Consider the following 14,921-nt stretch of genomic DNA (forward strand, 5'->3'; position numbering starts at 1 on the left):
TCTTGGCTTAAAAAGAGCCCCACTTTGTCAGCAGACTGCCATGCACTATAACCTGAACTGAGTCATGAGTTCTAGCCTGCAGCACTGTACCCCCATCATGATTCTGTCAGGTTGACCCCAAAGATTGAATGCCACTGAATCTCACTTCAAAAAGCCAATGGGTTTTGTTGTTGTTGTTTTTAGACAGGGTCTCACTCTGTCACCCAGGCTGGAGTACAGTGGCATGACTACAGCTCACTGCAGCCTTGACCTTCCCAGGTTCAAGTGATCCTCCCATCTCAGTCTCCAAAGTAGCTGGGACCACAGGCACACCACCACATCTGGCTAATTTTGTATTTTTTGTACAGACAGGGTCTATGTTGCCCATGCTGGTCTTGACCTCCTGGCCTCAAGCAATCTACCCACCTCAACCTCCCAAAGTGCTGGGACTACAGGTGTGAGTCACCACACCCACCAAGTCGGTGATTTTTAAAATGGCAATAAATTATTCCACCTTTCTGACCCATTTGACACCACTCACTACTTGACATGCCCCTGCCACTCAGCAGTGATGGGATCTTCCTCTCCATCTCCCACCTGTATCTTCCTGATGCTTCTATGATGAAACAGCTATCTGCTCAAAGCCAGGTGCAAGTTTTACCCATGGACTCTCACCAGGGACTGCGGCCTTGGCGACGTTTTCTTTTTCTTTTTTTTTTTTTAATTTTGAGACAGAGTCTCAATCTGTCGCCCAGGCTGGAGTGCAGTGGTGCAATCTCGGCTCACTGCAACCTCTGCCTCCCAGGTTCAAGTGATTCTCCTGTCTCAGCCTCCCAAGCAGCTGGGACTACAGGCGTGTGCCACCACGCCCGGCTAATTTTTCATTTTTAGTAGAGTATTTTTCTATTTTTAGTATTTTCACCATATTGGCCAGACTGGTCTCAAACTCCTGACTTTGTGATCTGCCCGCCTCGGCCTCCCAAAGTGCTGGGATTACAGGTGTGAGCCACTGCACCCAGCCAGAAACATTTTTTAACTAAGTTAATCATGAGGTTACAGCCTCTAGAAGCCAGAAAAACTATCTGTAGTAAAAACTTGCTTGCCTTAGACAAGTGGTTCTTCCTTCCCACATTCACATACCTTCTTACTTCCTAGTAAAGTATACATAGCTAAACATAGGCTGGCCAGGCCATCTCTGACTTTACTGGACACGTCCATACCTCAACATATTAGGGTCAAGATATGACAAAGGGCCAGGCACAGTGGCTCACACCTGTAATACCAGCACTTTCGGAGGCTGAGGTGGGTGGATCATCTGAGCTCAGGAGTTCAAGACCAGCCTAGGCAACATGGTGAAGCCCCGTCTCTACCAAAAATACAAAAAAAAAAAAAAAAAAAATTAGCCGGGCATTGTGGCGCATGCCTGTAGTCCCAGCTACTCAGGAGGCTGAGGCAAGAGAATTACTTTAGCACAGGAGGTAGAGGTTGCAGTGAGCAGAGATCACACCACTGCACTCTAGCCTGGGTGAGAGTGAGACCCTGTCTCAAATATATATATATAAAATATATATATATAATATATAAAATATATATAAAATATATTATATATATAATATATGTGTATATATATAAATAAAAAGATATAACCAAGAGCCCTGCTAATAGGCTATGTCCACAAACATAGGCCACAATGCAATAATTATCATATCAACTCCAGGAATTTACTGATACTTGGGTTTAACCCTCAAATCACCAGAAAGCCATAGGGTTATACTGAATTTTAACCGTGAAACTGGTAGAATTCAGAATAAAAACGAATTCTTCCCTCAATGTGACATGATACCTAAAGGTACCCTGGGTAGGGCGTGGTGGCTCATGCCTGTAATCCCAGCACTTTGGGAAGCCGAGGTGGGTGGATCACCTGAGGTCGGGAGTTCAAGACCAGCCTGACCAACACAGAGAAACCCCATCTCTGCTAAAAATACAAAAAAAAAATTAGCCGGGCATGCTGGTGCATGCCTGTAATCCCAGCTACTTGGGAGGCTGAGGTAGGAGAATTGGGAGGCTGAGGTAGGAGAATTGCTTGAAACCGGGAGGCGGAGGTTGTGGTGAGCCGAGATCGCGCCATTGCACTCCAGCCTGGGGAACAAGAGTAAAACTCTGTCTCAAAAAAAAAAAAAAAAAGTGAACTCTGGCTGGGCACAGTAGCTCACTCCTGTAAATCCACCACTTTGGGAGGCTGAGGTGGGAGGATCACTTGAGGCCAGGAGTTTGAGACCAGCGTTGGCAGTATAGTAAGACCATGTCTCTACTCCCCAACTGACAAAAAATTGTTTTTTTTTAATTAGCTGGACGTGGTGGCACACACCTGTAGTCCCAGCTACTCAGGAGGGTAAGGCAGAAGGACTGCTTGAGATTGGGAGGCATGATGGCGTGTGCCTGTGGTCCCAGCTACTCAGGAGGGTGAGGCAGAAGAACTGCTTGAACCCAGGAGGCAGAGGTTGCAGTGAGCTGAGATTGCACCACTGCACTCCAGCCTTGGTGACAAAGGAAAACTCCTCTCCAAAAAAAGAAAAAAAAAAAATACAGCCTGGTACAGTGGCTCACACCTGTAATCCCAGCACTTTGGGAGGCCGAGGCAAATCACCTGAGGTCGGGAGTTCAAGAACAGTCTGACCAACATGGAGAAACCCTCTCTACTAATAATACAAAATTAGCCAGGTGGGGTGGCACATGCCTGTAATCCCAGCTACTTGGGAGGCTGAGGCAGGAGAATCACTTGAACCCGGGAGGCAGAGGTTGTGGTAAGCTGTAATCGTGCCATTGCACTCCAGCTTGGGCAGCAAGAGTGAAACTCTGTCTCAAAAACATAAAAAAATAAGACGGACGTGGTGGGGCGCACCTGTACTCCCAGCTACTCGGGAGGCTGAGACAGGAGAACTGCTTTAGCACAGGAGGCGGAGGTTGCAGTGAGCTGAGATAGAGCCATGGCACTCCAGCCTGGGCAACAGAGTAAGACTTTTTTTTTCTTTTTTTTTTGAGACGGAGTCTCGCTCTGTCTCCCAGGCTGGAGTGCAGTGGCGCGATCTCAGCTCACTGCAAGCTCCGCCTCCTGGGTTCACACCATTCTCCTGCCTCAGCCTCCCAAGTAGCTGGGACTACAGGCACATGCCACCACGCCCAGCTAATTTTTGCGTTTTTAGTAGAGACGGGGTTTCACCATGTTAGCCAGGATGGTCTTGATCTCCTGACCTCGTGATCCGCCCGCCTCGGCCTCTCAAAGTGCTAGGACTACAGGCGTGAGCCACCGTGCCTGGGTGAGACTTCATCTTAAAAAAATAAATAATAATGTGCCAGGTACAGTGGCTCACGCCTGTAATCCCAGCACTTTGGGAGGCGGAGGTGGGCGGATCATGAGGTCAGGAGTTCAAGACCACCCTGGCCAAGATGGTGAAACCCTGTCTCTACCAAAAATACAAAAATTAGCCAGCTGTGGTGGCAGATGCCTGGAATCCCAGCTACTCCGGAGGCTGAGGTAGAGAACTGCTTGAACCTGGGAGGCAGAGGTTGCAGTGAGCTGAGACAGCACTACTGCATTATAGCCTGGGAGACAGACGGAGACTCTGTCTCAAAAAAAAAACAAAGTAATAATAATAATAATAATACATAAAGTCAAAGTTTCCAAGAACCTACCAAAGACGTTAAGTGAGAGCCTAGTGTAATGGCATAAATCTTCTATGGGCCCTTTGTCACAATGCCCTCCTTCCCCTGCCTTATCTCATCCCATAATTCAATGAGCATTAGTTAGCTACAATAAAAAAATCTGGGCCGGGCACAGTGGCTCACGCCTGTAATCCCAGCACTTTGGGAGGCTGAGATGGGGGGATCATGAGGTCAGGAGATTGAGACCATCCTAGCTAACACGGGGAAACCCTGTCTCTACTAAAAATACAAAAAAATTAGCTGGGCGTGGTGGTGGGCGCCTGTAGTCCCAGCTACTCGGGAGGCTGAGGCAGGAGAATGGCGTGAACCCAGGAGGCGGAGCTTGCAGTGAGCCGAGATCGCGCCACTGCACTCCAGCCTGGGCGACTGAGCAAGACTCCGTCTCAAAAAAAAAATAATAAATAATAATAATAATAATAATAATTTGGGAGACATTAACTAACATCTGCCAAGTCTAATGACTTTAAAGACTGATCTACTTGGTTCATTCCTAAGTCTTTTCTACTAGACTACCCTGCCCCTGACCACAGAACATAGATGTTTTTCTTTACTTAGAAACGTTACCTAGGGGCTGGGCCAGTGGCTCATACCTGTAATTCGAATACTTTGGGAAGCCGAGGAAGGAGGATTGCTTGAGCCCAGGAGTTACAGACCATCCTGGGCCACACAGTAAGACCCTGTCTCTACAAAAAAAAACTAGGCTGGGCGCGGTGGCTCACGCCTGTAAACCCAGCACTTTGGGAGGCCAAGGCGGGTGGATCATGAGGTCAGGAGTTCGAGATCAGCCTGGTCAACATGGTGAAACCCCATCTCTACTAAAGATACAAAAAATTAGCCAGGCATGGTGGCGCACGCCTGTAATCCCAGCTACTTAGGAGGCTGAGGCAGGAGAATTGCTTGAACCTAGGAGGCAGAGGTTGCAGTGAGCCGAGATCACGGCACCACCGCACTCCAGCCTGGGCAACAGGGCAAGACTCCATCTCAAAAAAGAAAGAAAAATTAGCCAGGTGTGGTGGTTTGTGCCGGTAGTCCCAGCTACTTGGGAGGCGAGGTGGAAAGATCACTTGAGCGAACCCTGGAGGTCGAGGCTGCGGTGAGCTGTGACTGCATCATTTGCACTCCAGCCTGGGCACAGTGCGAGACTAACTAAAAAGAAACAAAACAACCACCCAGGTGTGGTGATGGGAGATTGTAGTCCCAGCTACTCAGGAAGCTTGGGCGGATCACTTGAGGCTATGAGCCAGGAGTTCGAAGCTGCAGTGAGTTATGATCATGCCACTGCACTCTAGCCTGGTCAACAGAATGAGACTATATCTCTAAAAAACAGAACACACACACACACATACACACACACACGAAACATAACTTAGCATTGTACATTATTCAGGGTACTTCATGTTGCCAAACTATGAGTTCCTTGGGCTAAACACAAAGTAATAGAAAAACAGGGGACTTGGCCAGGTGCAGTGGCTCACGCCTATAATCCTAACACTTTAGGAGGCCGACGCAGGTGGATTATCTGAGGTCAGGAGTTCAAGGCCAGCCTGGTCAACACGGCAAAACCCCATCTCTACTAAAAATAGAAAAATTAGCCGGGCATGGTGGCAGCAGGCGCCTGTAATCCCAGCTACTCAGGAGGCTGAGACAGGAGAATCGCTTGAACCGAGATCACACCGGGCAATGGACTGAGACCCTGTCTCAAAAAAAAGAATTCCCCCTACTGCAACCCTACTGTCCTCTCTCAAGCTTCCTCTTACATGCTACTGCTGGAGATAGAAATAAGACTTCTTAGCCTGAAGTGAACTATCATTCGAAAGCAAAACAGGCCAATTTCCAAGAAGTTGCTAGTTTATACCTTCCCTAGTTGAGCTATTATTAAGTATTTCCTGTATAAGCCCTTCTCTTCCATTTCCTGCTAGGTCAGAGTCAACAAATATCCGGTTTTTATCAACAGGTTTAATTAAGCAGATCACTTACTATGTCAGCAAGATGGGCCAATATGTGATGATACCTTTGACTAAAGTTAGAGTAGGCCGGGTGTGGTGGCTCAAGCCTGTAATCCCAGCACTTTGGGAGGCCGAGGCGGGCGGATCACAAGGTCAGGAGATCGAGACCATCCTGGCCAACATGGTGAAACCCCGTCTCTACTAAAAATACAAAAAAATTAGCCGGACATGGTGGCGGGCGCCTGTAGTCCCAGCTACTCGGGAGGCTGAGGCAGGAGAATGGCATGAACCCGGGAGGTGGAGCTTGCAGTGAGCCGAGATGGCGCCACTGCACTCCAGCCTGGGCGACAGAGCAAGACTTCGTCTCAAAAAATAAATAAATAAAATAAAATAAATAGAGTAGGCTAGTGCTTCTCCAGACTGCAAGCAACTGAAACTTCAACAGTTTTCTTCCAGACATCCCAGAGTACATTAGTTCCCTTCCATATGCTTAAATGATCCTCCATCTTAAGAAAAACTCAAGTCCGTGATCTTAAAAATGAGACTAACTTTTCACGTCATTCATGCAACATGTTAATAGCTGCCCGAAATAGCTGTTTTCAGCAGTAGCCCAAAAGGCTCTCTCTAATTCTAAGTCAATCTCCAAAAAGGAATCGCAAAGCATCCTAAAAGGTTGATTTCAAGGGAAAGCCAATATAGCTTACTCATAAACATCTCTGCAAACGGAAGAATGAATAAACGAAATCCAAAGATAACCCTCCAACCTAATTTTAGTTTTTAGTTTCTGACTCCTCTTCCCAGCAAACCTCTTTCAAGATTTGGCAAGCAGGCCACAGAGTAAGAAAAGTAAAGATTTCTGGTGTTCCCCAAGCTATTACTTCCTGCTGCTTTCCTCAAAAACTGGGTAATCAGCTAGTTTACAACAATGCTAGTAAACAAGGAAAACCCTAAAGGCAAAGATAATCCACAAACTAACCAAGAGCTATATCTACCTGAGGTCAAACATAAGAAGAGAACTGCTTCTTAACAGCTCCTGCTTAACAGTCCCATCCACACTACCCCACCCCCTCTAAATGGTGGCACTCATTGGTCACAAGAGCCAACTTTCTAACTTCAGAAAATCACCTCTCTTTCAGATCTTTACTACTCACTAAAGATCTAGTGACAGACTTATCATACCCTATAAACACCAAAAAATAACTCAGAGCCTATTTGGTTCTTTAATACACTAGGAATAATGCTGGGCACAGTGGCTCACGCCTGTAATTCCAGCACTTTGGGAGGCTGAGGCGGGCGGATCACCTGAGGTCGGGAGTTCGAGACCAGCCTGACCAACACGGAGAAACCCCGTCTCTACTAAAAATACAAAATTAGCTGGGTGTGGCTGTGCATGCCTGTAATCCCAGCTACTCAGGAGGCTGAGGCAGGAGAATCACTTGAACCCGGGAGGCGGAGGTTGCGGTGAGCCGAGGTTGCACCATTGCACTCCAGCCTGGGCAACAAGAGCGAAACTCCATCTCAAAAAAAAAAAAAAAAAACACCAAGGAATAAATTATTTAACAAGTCTTAAAATTTCATGAGCTTATAGAAGACACTCAAAGAGCTCCTATACTCTGGTAGAAGGTATATTACTAAGCCAAGGTTTCAAAAACCTATAAGCTTCAAAGAATGGGACATCCCATACAAGACAACACCCATATGAACTCAATAGCCTTCCAAATCTGTCCCTGGCCATCACTAAAAAATGTGTGGCATTTCCCTAGAATCTGACAAGATAGGAACTCCAGATCTGAGGTAACGACATTCACTAGCCTCAGCATCAGTTACCCTCTATTATTTTAGTTGCCTAAGTGTTTCCTTGCTTTGCTGAACTGTACAGAACACACCACATTCCCAAGAGAGGCAAAGTAATACACATTATTGCAAGATTCCTCTAGAGGGAAAAACTTCCACCACATTAATTCAAGAGACTTAATGAAAAGCACCTGCTACTAAAATTGGAGGCATCTTATTCATCCAACAAATATTTATTAAATACTCTGTGCAAGGCTCTGTATATTCAATAGTAAATAAAATAGGTATGGTCCCCATCCCTGCAGAATAAAGTTTAGTGAGACAGACACTAGACAAGTAAACAACTATGGCCAGGAGCGGTGGCTCACGCCTGTAATCCCAGCACTTTGGGAGGCCGAGGCGGGCGGATCACAAAGTCAGGAGATCGAGACCGTCCTGGCTAACACAGTGAAACCCCGTCTCTACTAAAAATACAAAAAAGTTAGCCGGGCGTGGTGTCGGGCGCCTGTAGTCCCAGCTACTAGGAAGGCTGAGGCAGGAGAATGGCATGAACCCGGGAGGCGGAGCTTGCAGTGAGCTGAGATGGCGCCACTGCACTCCAGCCTGGGCGACAAAGCGAGACTCCGTCTCAAAAAAAAAAAAAAAAAAAAAAGCTATGAATAGGGTAACCTAATCTATACCTGTTGTCCCTGTGTAAAATAAAAGCATTCCCCTTTACTCTCAAAAATGTCCCAGGTTGGACTACAAATGATATGGTCACCTTAACTGTGAAGGACAAGGTACTATGAGAGAGAATAATGCAGGCAAATTACTTCAGCCTGGGTGATCAGAGAAGACTTCTTGGAAGACGTGCCATTTAACTGAGTGCTGATGGGTGGTAAGGCTCCAGTCATTCTGGAAGGAAAAATGTTCCAAGTACAGGGGACAGCACAGGCTATGACAGGGCTTGAGGCATTATTATGATCAACTTCAATTTTGACTAAATAAACGGAATTGTCAAAAAAGTGACTTAGGGCCGGGCATGGTGGCTGACACCTGTAATCCCAGCACTTTGGGAGGCTGAGGCAGGCAGATCACTTGAGGTCAGAAGTTCAAGATCAGCCTGGCCAGCATGGTGAAACCCCATCTCTACTAATAATACAAAAATTGAGCCAGGAGCAGTGGCTCACACCTATAATCTTACCACTTTGGGAGGCCGAGGCAAGCAGACTGCCTGAGCTCAGGAGTTCAAGACCAGCCTGGGCAACAGAATGAAACCCCGTCTCTACTAAAATAAAACAAATTAGCCGGGTGTGACAGTGTGTGCCTGTCTCCAAAAAAAAAAAAAATTTGGCCAGGCGTCGTGGCACACACCTGTAGTCCCAACTACTCCAGAGGCTGAGGCACGAGAATCACTTAACCTGGGAGGCGGAGGTTACAGTGAGCCGAGATCGCGTCACTGCACTCCAGCCTGGGCGACACAGAGAGACTCTGTCTCAAAAAAAACGCCGGGCGCAGTGGCTCCAATAAAAAGAAAGACTTGGGCAGGCATGGTGACGCATGCATGTAATCCCAGCTACTCAGAAGGCCGAGGCAGGAGGGTCACTTGAGCCCAGGCGTTCAAGTTCAACCTGGGCAACAAAGCAAGACCCTGTCTCACACATACACACACAAAAGTGACTTGGGGGTTCCCAGAGATCAACTTTTATGTGCAAGATTAAAATATGCTAAGCATGTAACTGTTAGAACTCAAAATTCAAACATAAAGACAAAAAAGAACCTTTAAGACAGTGGCTTTCAAACTTTTCTAAGTCATGAAACCCTCCGAGAATCTGAAAAACACTTTAGATCTTCAAGCAGAAAATGCATATATTCACGTATGCACACATCCACATATACACAATTTGAAGACATTCATAGGTAACGCCACCACCCAAACCCCAGCAGCACTATTAGTTCATCATGAACTCCAAGATTTAAAAAGTCCTCTTTCATAAAGGCAGAAGCAAGCTCTCAACTTATTTGGGAGTTAAGCTACTTCTTAAGATCTACTGATAACATCCAGGAATAAAGAGAAAAACTAAACCTACATTTTTTAAAAAGATATCAGAACAAACAATTTTAAGTCAATTTTAAAAAATAAAAAATAGACAACAATGTATCACTAAGACTCAATGAGACTCATCTTTCCCACCATTTTAGAGAGCCAGATCTGCCCTTGAGTCCTTACCTTACTAACATTGAGTGAAGCTAGGGGAGGAGGGGTTTCTGTTCGGTCATTAATTATTTCCACTTCTGAAACATACTGTAAGTTTATGAGCAAGATGTCTGCATGGTTGGGCTTTCCACTGGAAGAGGGACATTCTGGTGAGAAAAAAAAAAGTTAAGGAAAAATAGGACAAGCAGAGGCACTGACACATCCCAAAAGGGGCATAGAAAACACGATTCACACAAGGCTTGTAAAAGGCAGGCCAGGAGCATGAGGGCCTTATAAGAATCACGGTTCTCCTCAGGAAATCTCTGCCTGTCACCTTCCTCCTGCCCAAATCCTTGGAAGCTTCCAAAGGAGTTCTGTCACTTTCTCTCTACTGGCTTTATGGAGAGGCATAATGCAGATTTAATGCGTTTGTCTTGAACCTATGAGCCAGACAAAAGAGCTAGACCTTTCTGTTCTTCGTATAATACTCTCTGTGTCTGCACAGTATTCTTTTTACTCTTTCAGATGTGAGCTTTCCCATTTTGCAGAGGAGAAAACTACACACTGGAAAGGAAATTCACCCAAGGTGACCCAGCCAGTTAATCCATTCATTCATTCACAAACTCATTCTCCAACCATTTAAGAGCCTACTGTATGTCAAGTAAAAGTTGAGTAATTCAGCCAGGCTCACGTGATGGCTCACGCCTGTAATCTCAACACTTTGGGAGGCTGAGGCGGGCAGATTACTTGAGGTCAGGAGTTCAAGACCAGCCTGGCCAAAGTGGCAAAACCCCGTCACTACCAAAAAAAAAAAAATTAGCCGGGTGTGGTGGCACATGCCTGTAATCCCAGCTACTCTGGAGCCTGAGGCAGGAGAATCACTTGAACACGGGAGGCGGAGGTTGCAGTGAGCCGAGATGGTGCCACTGCACTCCAGCCTAGGTGACAGAGCGAGACTCCGTCTCAAAAAAAAAAAAAAAAAAGTAATTCCTAGTTACAAGACCCTTCCAACTAAACCACTAATGTAAAAGGTCTTATTTCTTCCAGGTGTAACCTCTTATTTTTTTAAAAAAGCAACTATTCTTAGGCCGCGCGGTGGCTCACGCTGGTAATCCCAGCACTCTGGGAGGCCGAGGCGGGTGGATCACGAGGTCAGGAGATCGAGACCATCTTGGCTAACACGGTGAAACCCCGTCTCTACTAAAAATACAAAAAATTAGCCGGGCACGGTGGCGTATGCCTGCAATCCCAGCTACTCGGGAGGCTGAGGCAGAAGAATCGCTTGAATCCGGGAGACGGAAGTTGCAGTAAGCCGAAATCACGCCATTGCACTCCAGCCTGGGCAATAAGAGTGAAACTCCGTCTCAAAAAACACAACAAAAAAAAAAGCCGGGCGGTGGCTCAGGCCTGTAATCCCAGCACTTTGGGAGGCTGAAGCCAGCGGATCACGAGGTCAGAAGTTCGAGACCATCCTGGCCAACATGGTGATACCCCATCTCTGTTAAAAAAAAACATATACAAAAATTAGCTGGGCGTGGTGGCGCGTGCCCGTAATCCCAGCTACTCCGGAGGCTGAGGCAGGAGAATCGCTCGAACCAGGGAGTCGGAGGTTGCAGTGAGCCGAGATTGCGCCACCGCACTCCATCCTAGCGACAGAGCGAGACTCCATCTTAAAAAAAAAAAAAAAAAAAAGATGCCATAAAAAATTACTCCTCCAAAAAAAAATTCCAATAAACCCACCTGTGGCTCACATAAAAAGGGAAGCCGTGGCACATTTATCCCAACAAGGAAGTGTTTCATTTCCAAGACTGAGTTTCCTGGAGTAATTCAGAAGTCACTTCCACCCCAAAGAAGCAGGCCACCTTTTCCAATCAGTTTAACATTGCTACTTTCAAAAGGGAGGCTGCTACTACGTAAAAGGACTCCATGTGCTGGACTGATCAAGGCAGCATGAGAACTTCACTCTTTCACCTGTAACTCACACATCCCCAAACCACATAAGCCCCTGGCAAGCCCTCTCTGGAACAGGTTTCCAGTGCAAACATCCCCTAAACAGCAACTTCCAAATGACCGAGAAGCCTAAAAATCAGCACAGCCCCCCCACCACACATACACACGCATCAGCGAAACAAGCCACTATCCCTAGCTCAGATACAAACTCTGCCCTGAACTTACTCTCCCCCAAAACAGGCAAGGACCAATTTGGTCACCATCCCACCGCCCTTCCTTGGACGAAATCCCATCAGTGCACATGCCCTCCTAAATTCCATACCTTTGCCCTACCAGCAGTTCCTTACCCTAAACACCCCTCCCCATAATATTTCACCCGCCCCTCCTTTCCATCCGGGCTCCAATCCATCAGCCCCCTCCCACCACCACCCCCTCTCCTAATTACTGTGTCCCCTCTCATAACGTTCCCCCCAAAAAGCCATCCCCGTGTCAAGCCCTCCTCCACCCACTGATCCTCGGTAAAGCCCCAGCTCCCGCAAAGAGAGAGAGACAGGATCCCCAAAGCTGACCGAAGGGCCCGCGGGAGGGGGAGGGGAGCTCAGGGCCGTGCGCATGCGCCCCGGGCGCCGCGGTAGCCGGTCGCCCCTAGGCCCGGAGAGAGCCCCAGCCGCCGCCGTCGTCCCCCACCCCCCGACCACCGCACCTACACGCCGGCCCGGACTCGGGCTTCACGCAGGGAAGGATACTTAAAGCCAGCATTTTGGATTGGTAGTCAAAGGCTACCACCTCGCCCTGCAGCCGCTGCTCCTGGCACGTCCGGCACGACACCTGGCTCCCAACGCTGAAGTACTCGCCCGGAGGAGCCGCCATCTTGGGAGTGCAGCCGCGGCCGGCGGCGGCGGCGGCAGCAGCGGGCGAAAGCCGGGCCCCCAGTGAGCGCCGCGACGCGACGGCGCGCACGGAGCGTGCTTGCGTCACACGCCGGGGCGTGGCCTGGCGCTGGTTGGGGCGGGATCCTAGGTGGAGTGGGAAAGAAGAGGAAATAAAGGGGAATCTGAAAAGTATTTGTATAGCTGCGTCCGCTCGGTTAAGTGCTTGTAGAGTCCATTTTAGAAGTTAAGGATAAATGACCTACGTGGAATGAAAAGGGGAAAGAGGAGGGAGCTGCAGTCTCCATTATATGCACACCTTCCACACAAGAGTTTAATGAATGAATTTTATAAAATATGTTAACCCCATTTTGCATATGAGGAATCAGAGCCTCAGAGGACTTAACGATACTTGGACAAGATGATTATAAGGCTGGGAGCGGTGGCTCACGCCTGTAATCCCAGCACTTTGGGAGGCCGAGGCGGGTGGATCACCTGAGGTCAGGGGTTCGAGACCAGCCTGGCCAACATGGTGAAACCCCGTCTCTACTAAAAATACAAAAATTAGCCGGGTACGGTGGCGCGTGCCTGTAATCCCAGCTACTAGGGGGACTGAGGCTGGAGGATCTCTTGAACCTGGAAGGCGGAGGTTGCACTGAGCCAAGATTGTGCCACTGCACTCTAGCCTGGGCAACAGAGCGAGACTCTGTCTCAAAACAAACAAACAAACAAAAAAAGATGATTATAACTACTGAGTGATAGTGGAAAGAACATTGGCTGTGGAGTTAGATAAGCTGGAACCAGAATCCGAGGTCAGCCTCTTACTAAATCACCTGACCTTGAGCAAGCAAATTACCTGATCCTGTTTCTTCATAGGCATTTGTATTGTCACTTCTTGAGCATCTAACAGCCCTTTGAGGTAGGAATCAATGTCCTCCTTTTACATAAACTAAGTTTTAGACTAAACTTGTCCACGGTTCCACAACTAGCAAAAACAGTCTGCCTATTTCCAAGGACGGTGCTATTTACTGCTATACTCTGTTACATAATAATACCTACCTCATAGTTAGGAGGTTTAAATGCGGTAACGGGTATAAGTGCATGGCATGTACTAGGTCTTTAATAAATGGTAGTTCCCCCTTAGTCACCCATCACTCTTAGAAGTCAAGACACTTCCCCTTCTCCCTTTTTGCCCTCTCTCCCAGAAAGCCAGGCAAAAGGCAGGAATGAGGAGCAGCGGATAGTGACAAAAAGGGGCTTGGAGGAGGGGTTTTGCGCCCCTGCCCTTGAATGTCCGTCTGATGTACAAAACAGTCGTTTTCTTAATCTTATGCAAAGGACTATGAGCGTGCATTTTCAAGCCCTACTACCACCAATGGCTGTCGCTAACCCACCCACCGCTCACTATAGAAATTTTGGATCCTCGCTTCATGTATAAGAAACAGGTTGACCTTTCTCTAGTCCAGAGGGAAGCAAAGGGCCAGTCTTGGCGCGGCTTAACCTGAACAAAGTTCAAAAGTATTTCCTTGCCCTCCAAGAAACATAAACTTCCTGGTGTTGGAAGTATTGATACACTCATTATAATAGGAATAAAAATTCTGCTCCTTCATAGTGTGCTTTTTCAGAGAACTTTTTTTTTTTTTTTTTTGAGATAGAGCCTCGCTCTGTCACCCAGACTGGAGTGCAGTGGCGCCATCTTGGCTCACTGCAACCCGCACCTCCCAGGTTCAAGCGATTCTCCTGCCTCAGCTTCCGGAGTAGCTGGAATTACAGGCACGAGCCACCATGCCCGGCTAATTTTTGTACTTTTAGTACAGATGGGGTTTCACCATGTTGGCCAGGCTGGTCTCAAACTCCTGGGCTCAAGCAATCTTCCCGCCTCGGCTGGCCTCTCAAAGTGCTGGGATTACGGGCGTGAGCCATGTGGCCGGCCTCAGAGAACTTTCATGCCTCTCATCCTTGTTCTGGCCCCCATAATAAATCATACATAATTGCCATTCCAGTTTTCCACTTTTTATATGGAATCGTGATTATAGGTTTTCATATAAGACTTCTAGGAGCCATTAGGAAAGGCCTTCTTGGAGGAAGTGAAAAATCTCTACTGAGACCTGAAGGATTGGCAAGGAAAAAGAGTGGCCATGTTCCAGGCAGAGGGAACTGCACGGGCCAGGACCCCTAAGAGGAGAGAACTTGGTGATTTCAAGGAATGTATAGGTCAGAAATATTACAAAGCGGAGTGTGGGAGTAGGCTGCTTAAGGTTGAGGGCAAACCTCAAAGACTCGGTAAACAATGTAGGCTTTCTCTTCGGCAATTAAAAACTTCCTGGTATTGTCCGGGCACAGTGGCTCACGCCTGTAATCCCAGCACTTTGGGAGACCGAGGCGGGCGGATCACGAGGTCATGAGATCAAGACCATCCTGGCTAACATGGTGAAACCCCGTCTCTACTAAAAATACTAAAAATTAGCCAGGTGTGGTGGTGGG

At 47.5% G+C, this 14,921-nt stretch overlaps 1 protein-coding gene across 5 annotated transcripts in view, besides 2 other annotated features; it reads right to left on the reverse strand.

The window, feature by feature from the left end:
* LSM12 (LSM12 homolog) overlaps positions 1-13,438 on the reverse strand; it is a 33,260-nt gene extending 19,822 nt beyond the window's left edge. For 3 of the 5 annotated variants that reach the window (NM_001371445.1, NM_001369484.1, NM_001369485.1), the window contains exons 1-2: positions 12,315-12,522; positions 9,652-9,785 (exon numbers count right to left, since the gene is read on the reverse strand). In NM_001371445.1, the coding sequence (NP_001358374.1) occupies positions 9,652-9,785; positions 12,315-12,438 (258 nt within the window). In that variant the 5' untranslated portion in view covers positions 12,439-12,522. Of the gene's footprint in view, positions 1-9,651; positions 9,786-12,314; positions 12,585-13,293 lie in introns of those variants that run through there. The other 2 variants (NM_152344.4, NM_001369486.1) reach the window with 2 other exon arrangements.
* Positions 12,055-12,194: a silencer, noted in NCBI's record as "silent region_8571". NCBI's record gives its function as "represses an Ori minimal core promoter by ATAC-STARR-seq in GM12878 lymphoblastoid cells {active_cell/tissue: GM12878}" and the evidence as "EXISTENCE:reporter gene assay evidence [ECO:0000049][PMID:35858748]".
* Positions 12,485-12,604: a silencer, noted in NCBI's record as "silent region_8572". NCBI's record gives its function as "represses an Ori minimal core promoter by ATAC-STARR-seq in GM12878 lymphoblastoid cells {active_cell/tissue: GM12878}" and the evidence as "EXISTENCE:reporter gene assay evidence [ECO:0000049][PMID:35858748]".

Source organism: Homo sapiens, chromosome 17, assembly GCF_000001405.40.
Source record: "Homo sapiens chromosome 17, GRCh38.p14 Primary Assembly".
Classification (NCBI taxonomy): Eukaryota; Metazoa; Chordata; class Mammalia; order Primates; family Hominidae; genus Homo; species Homo sapiens.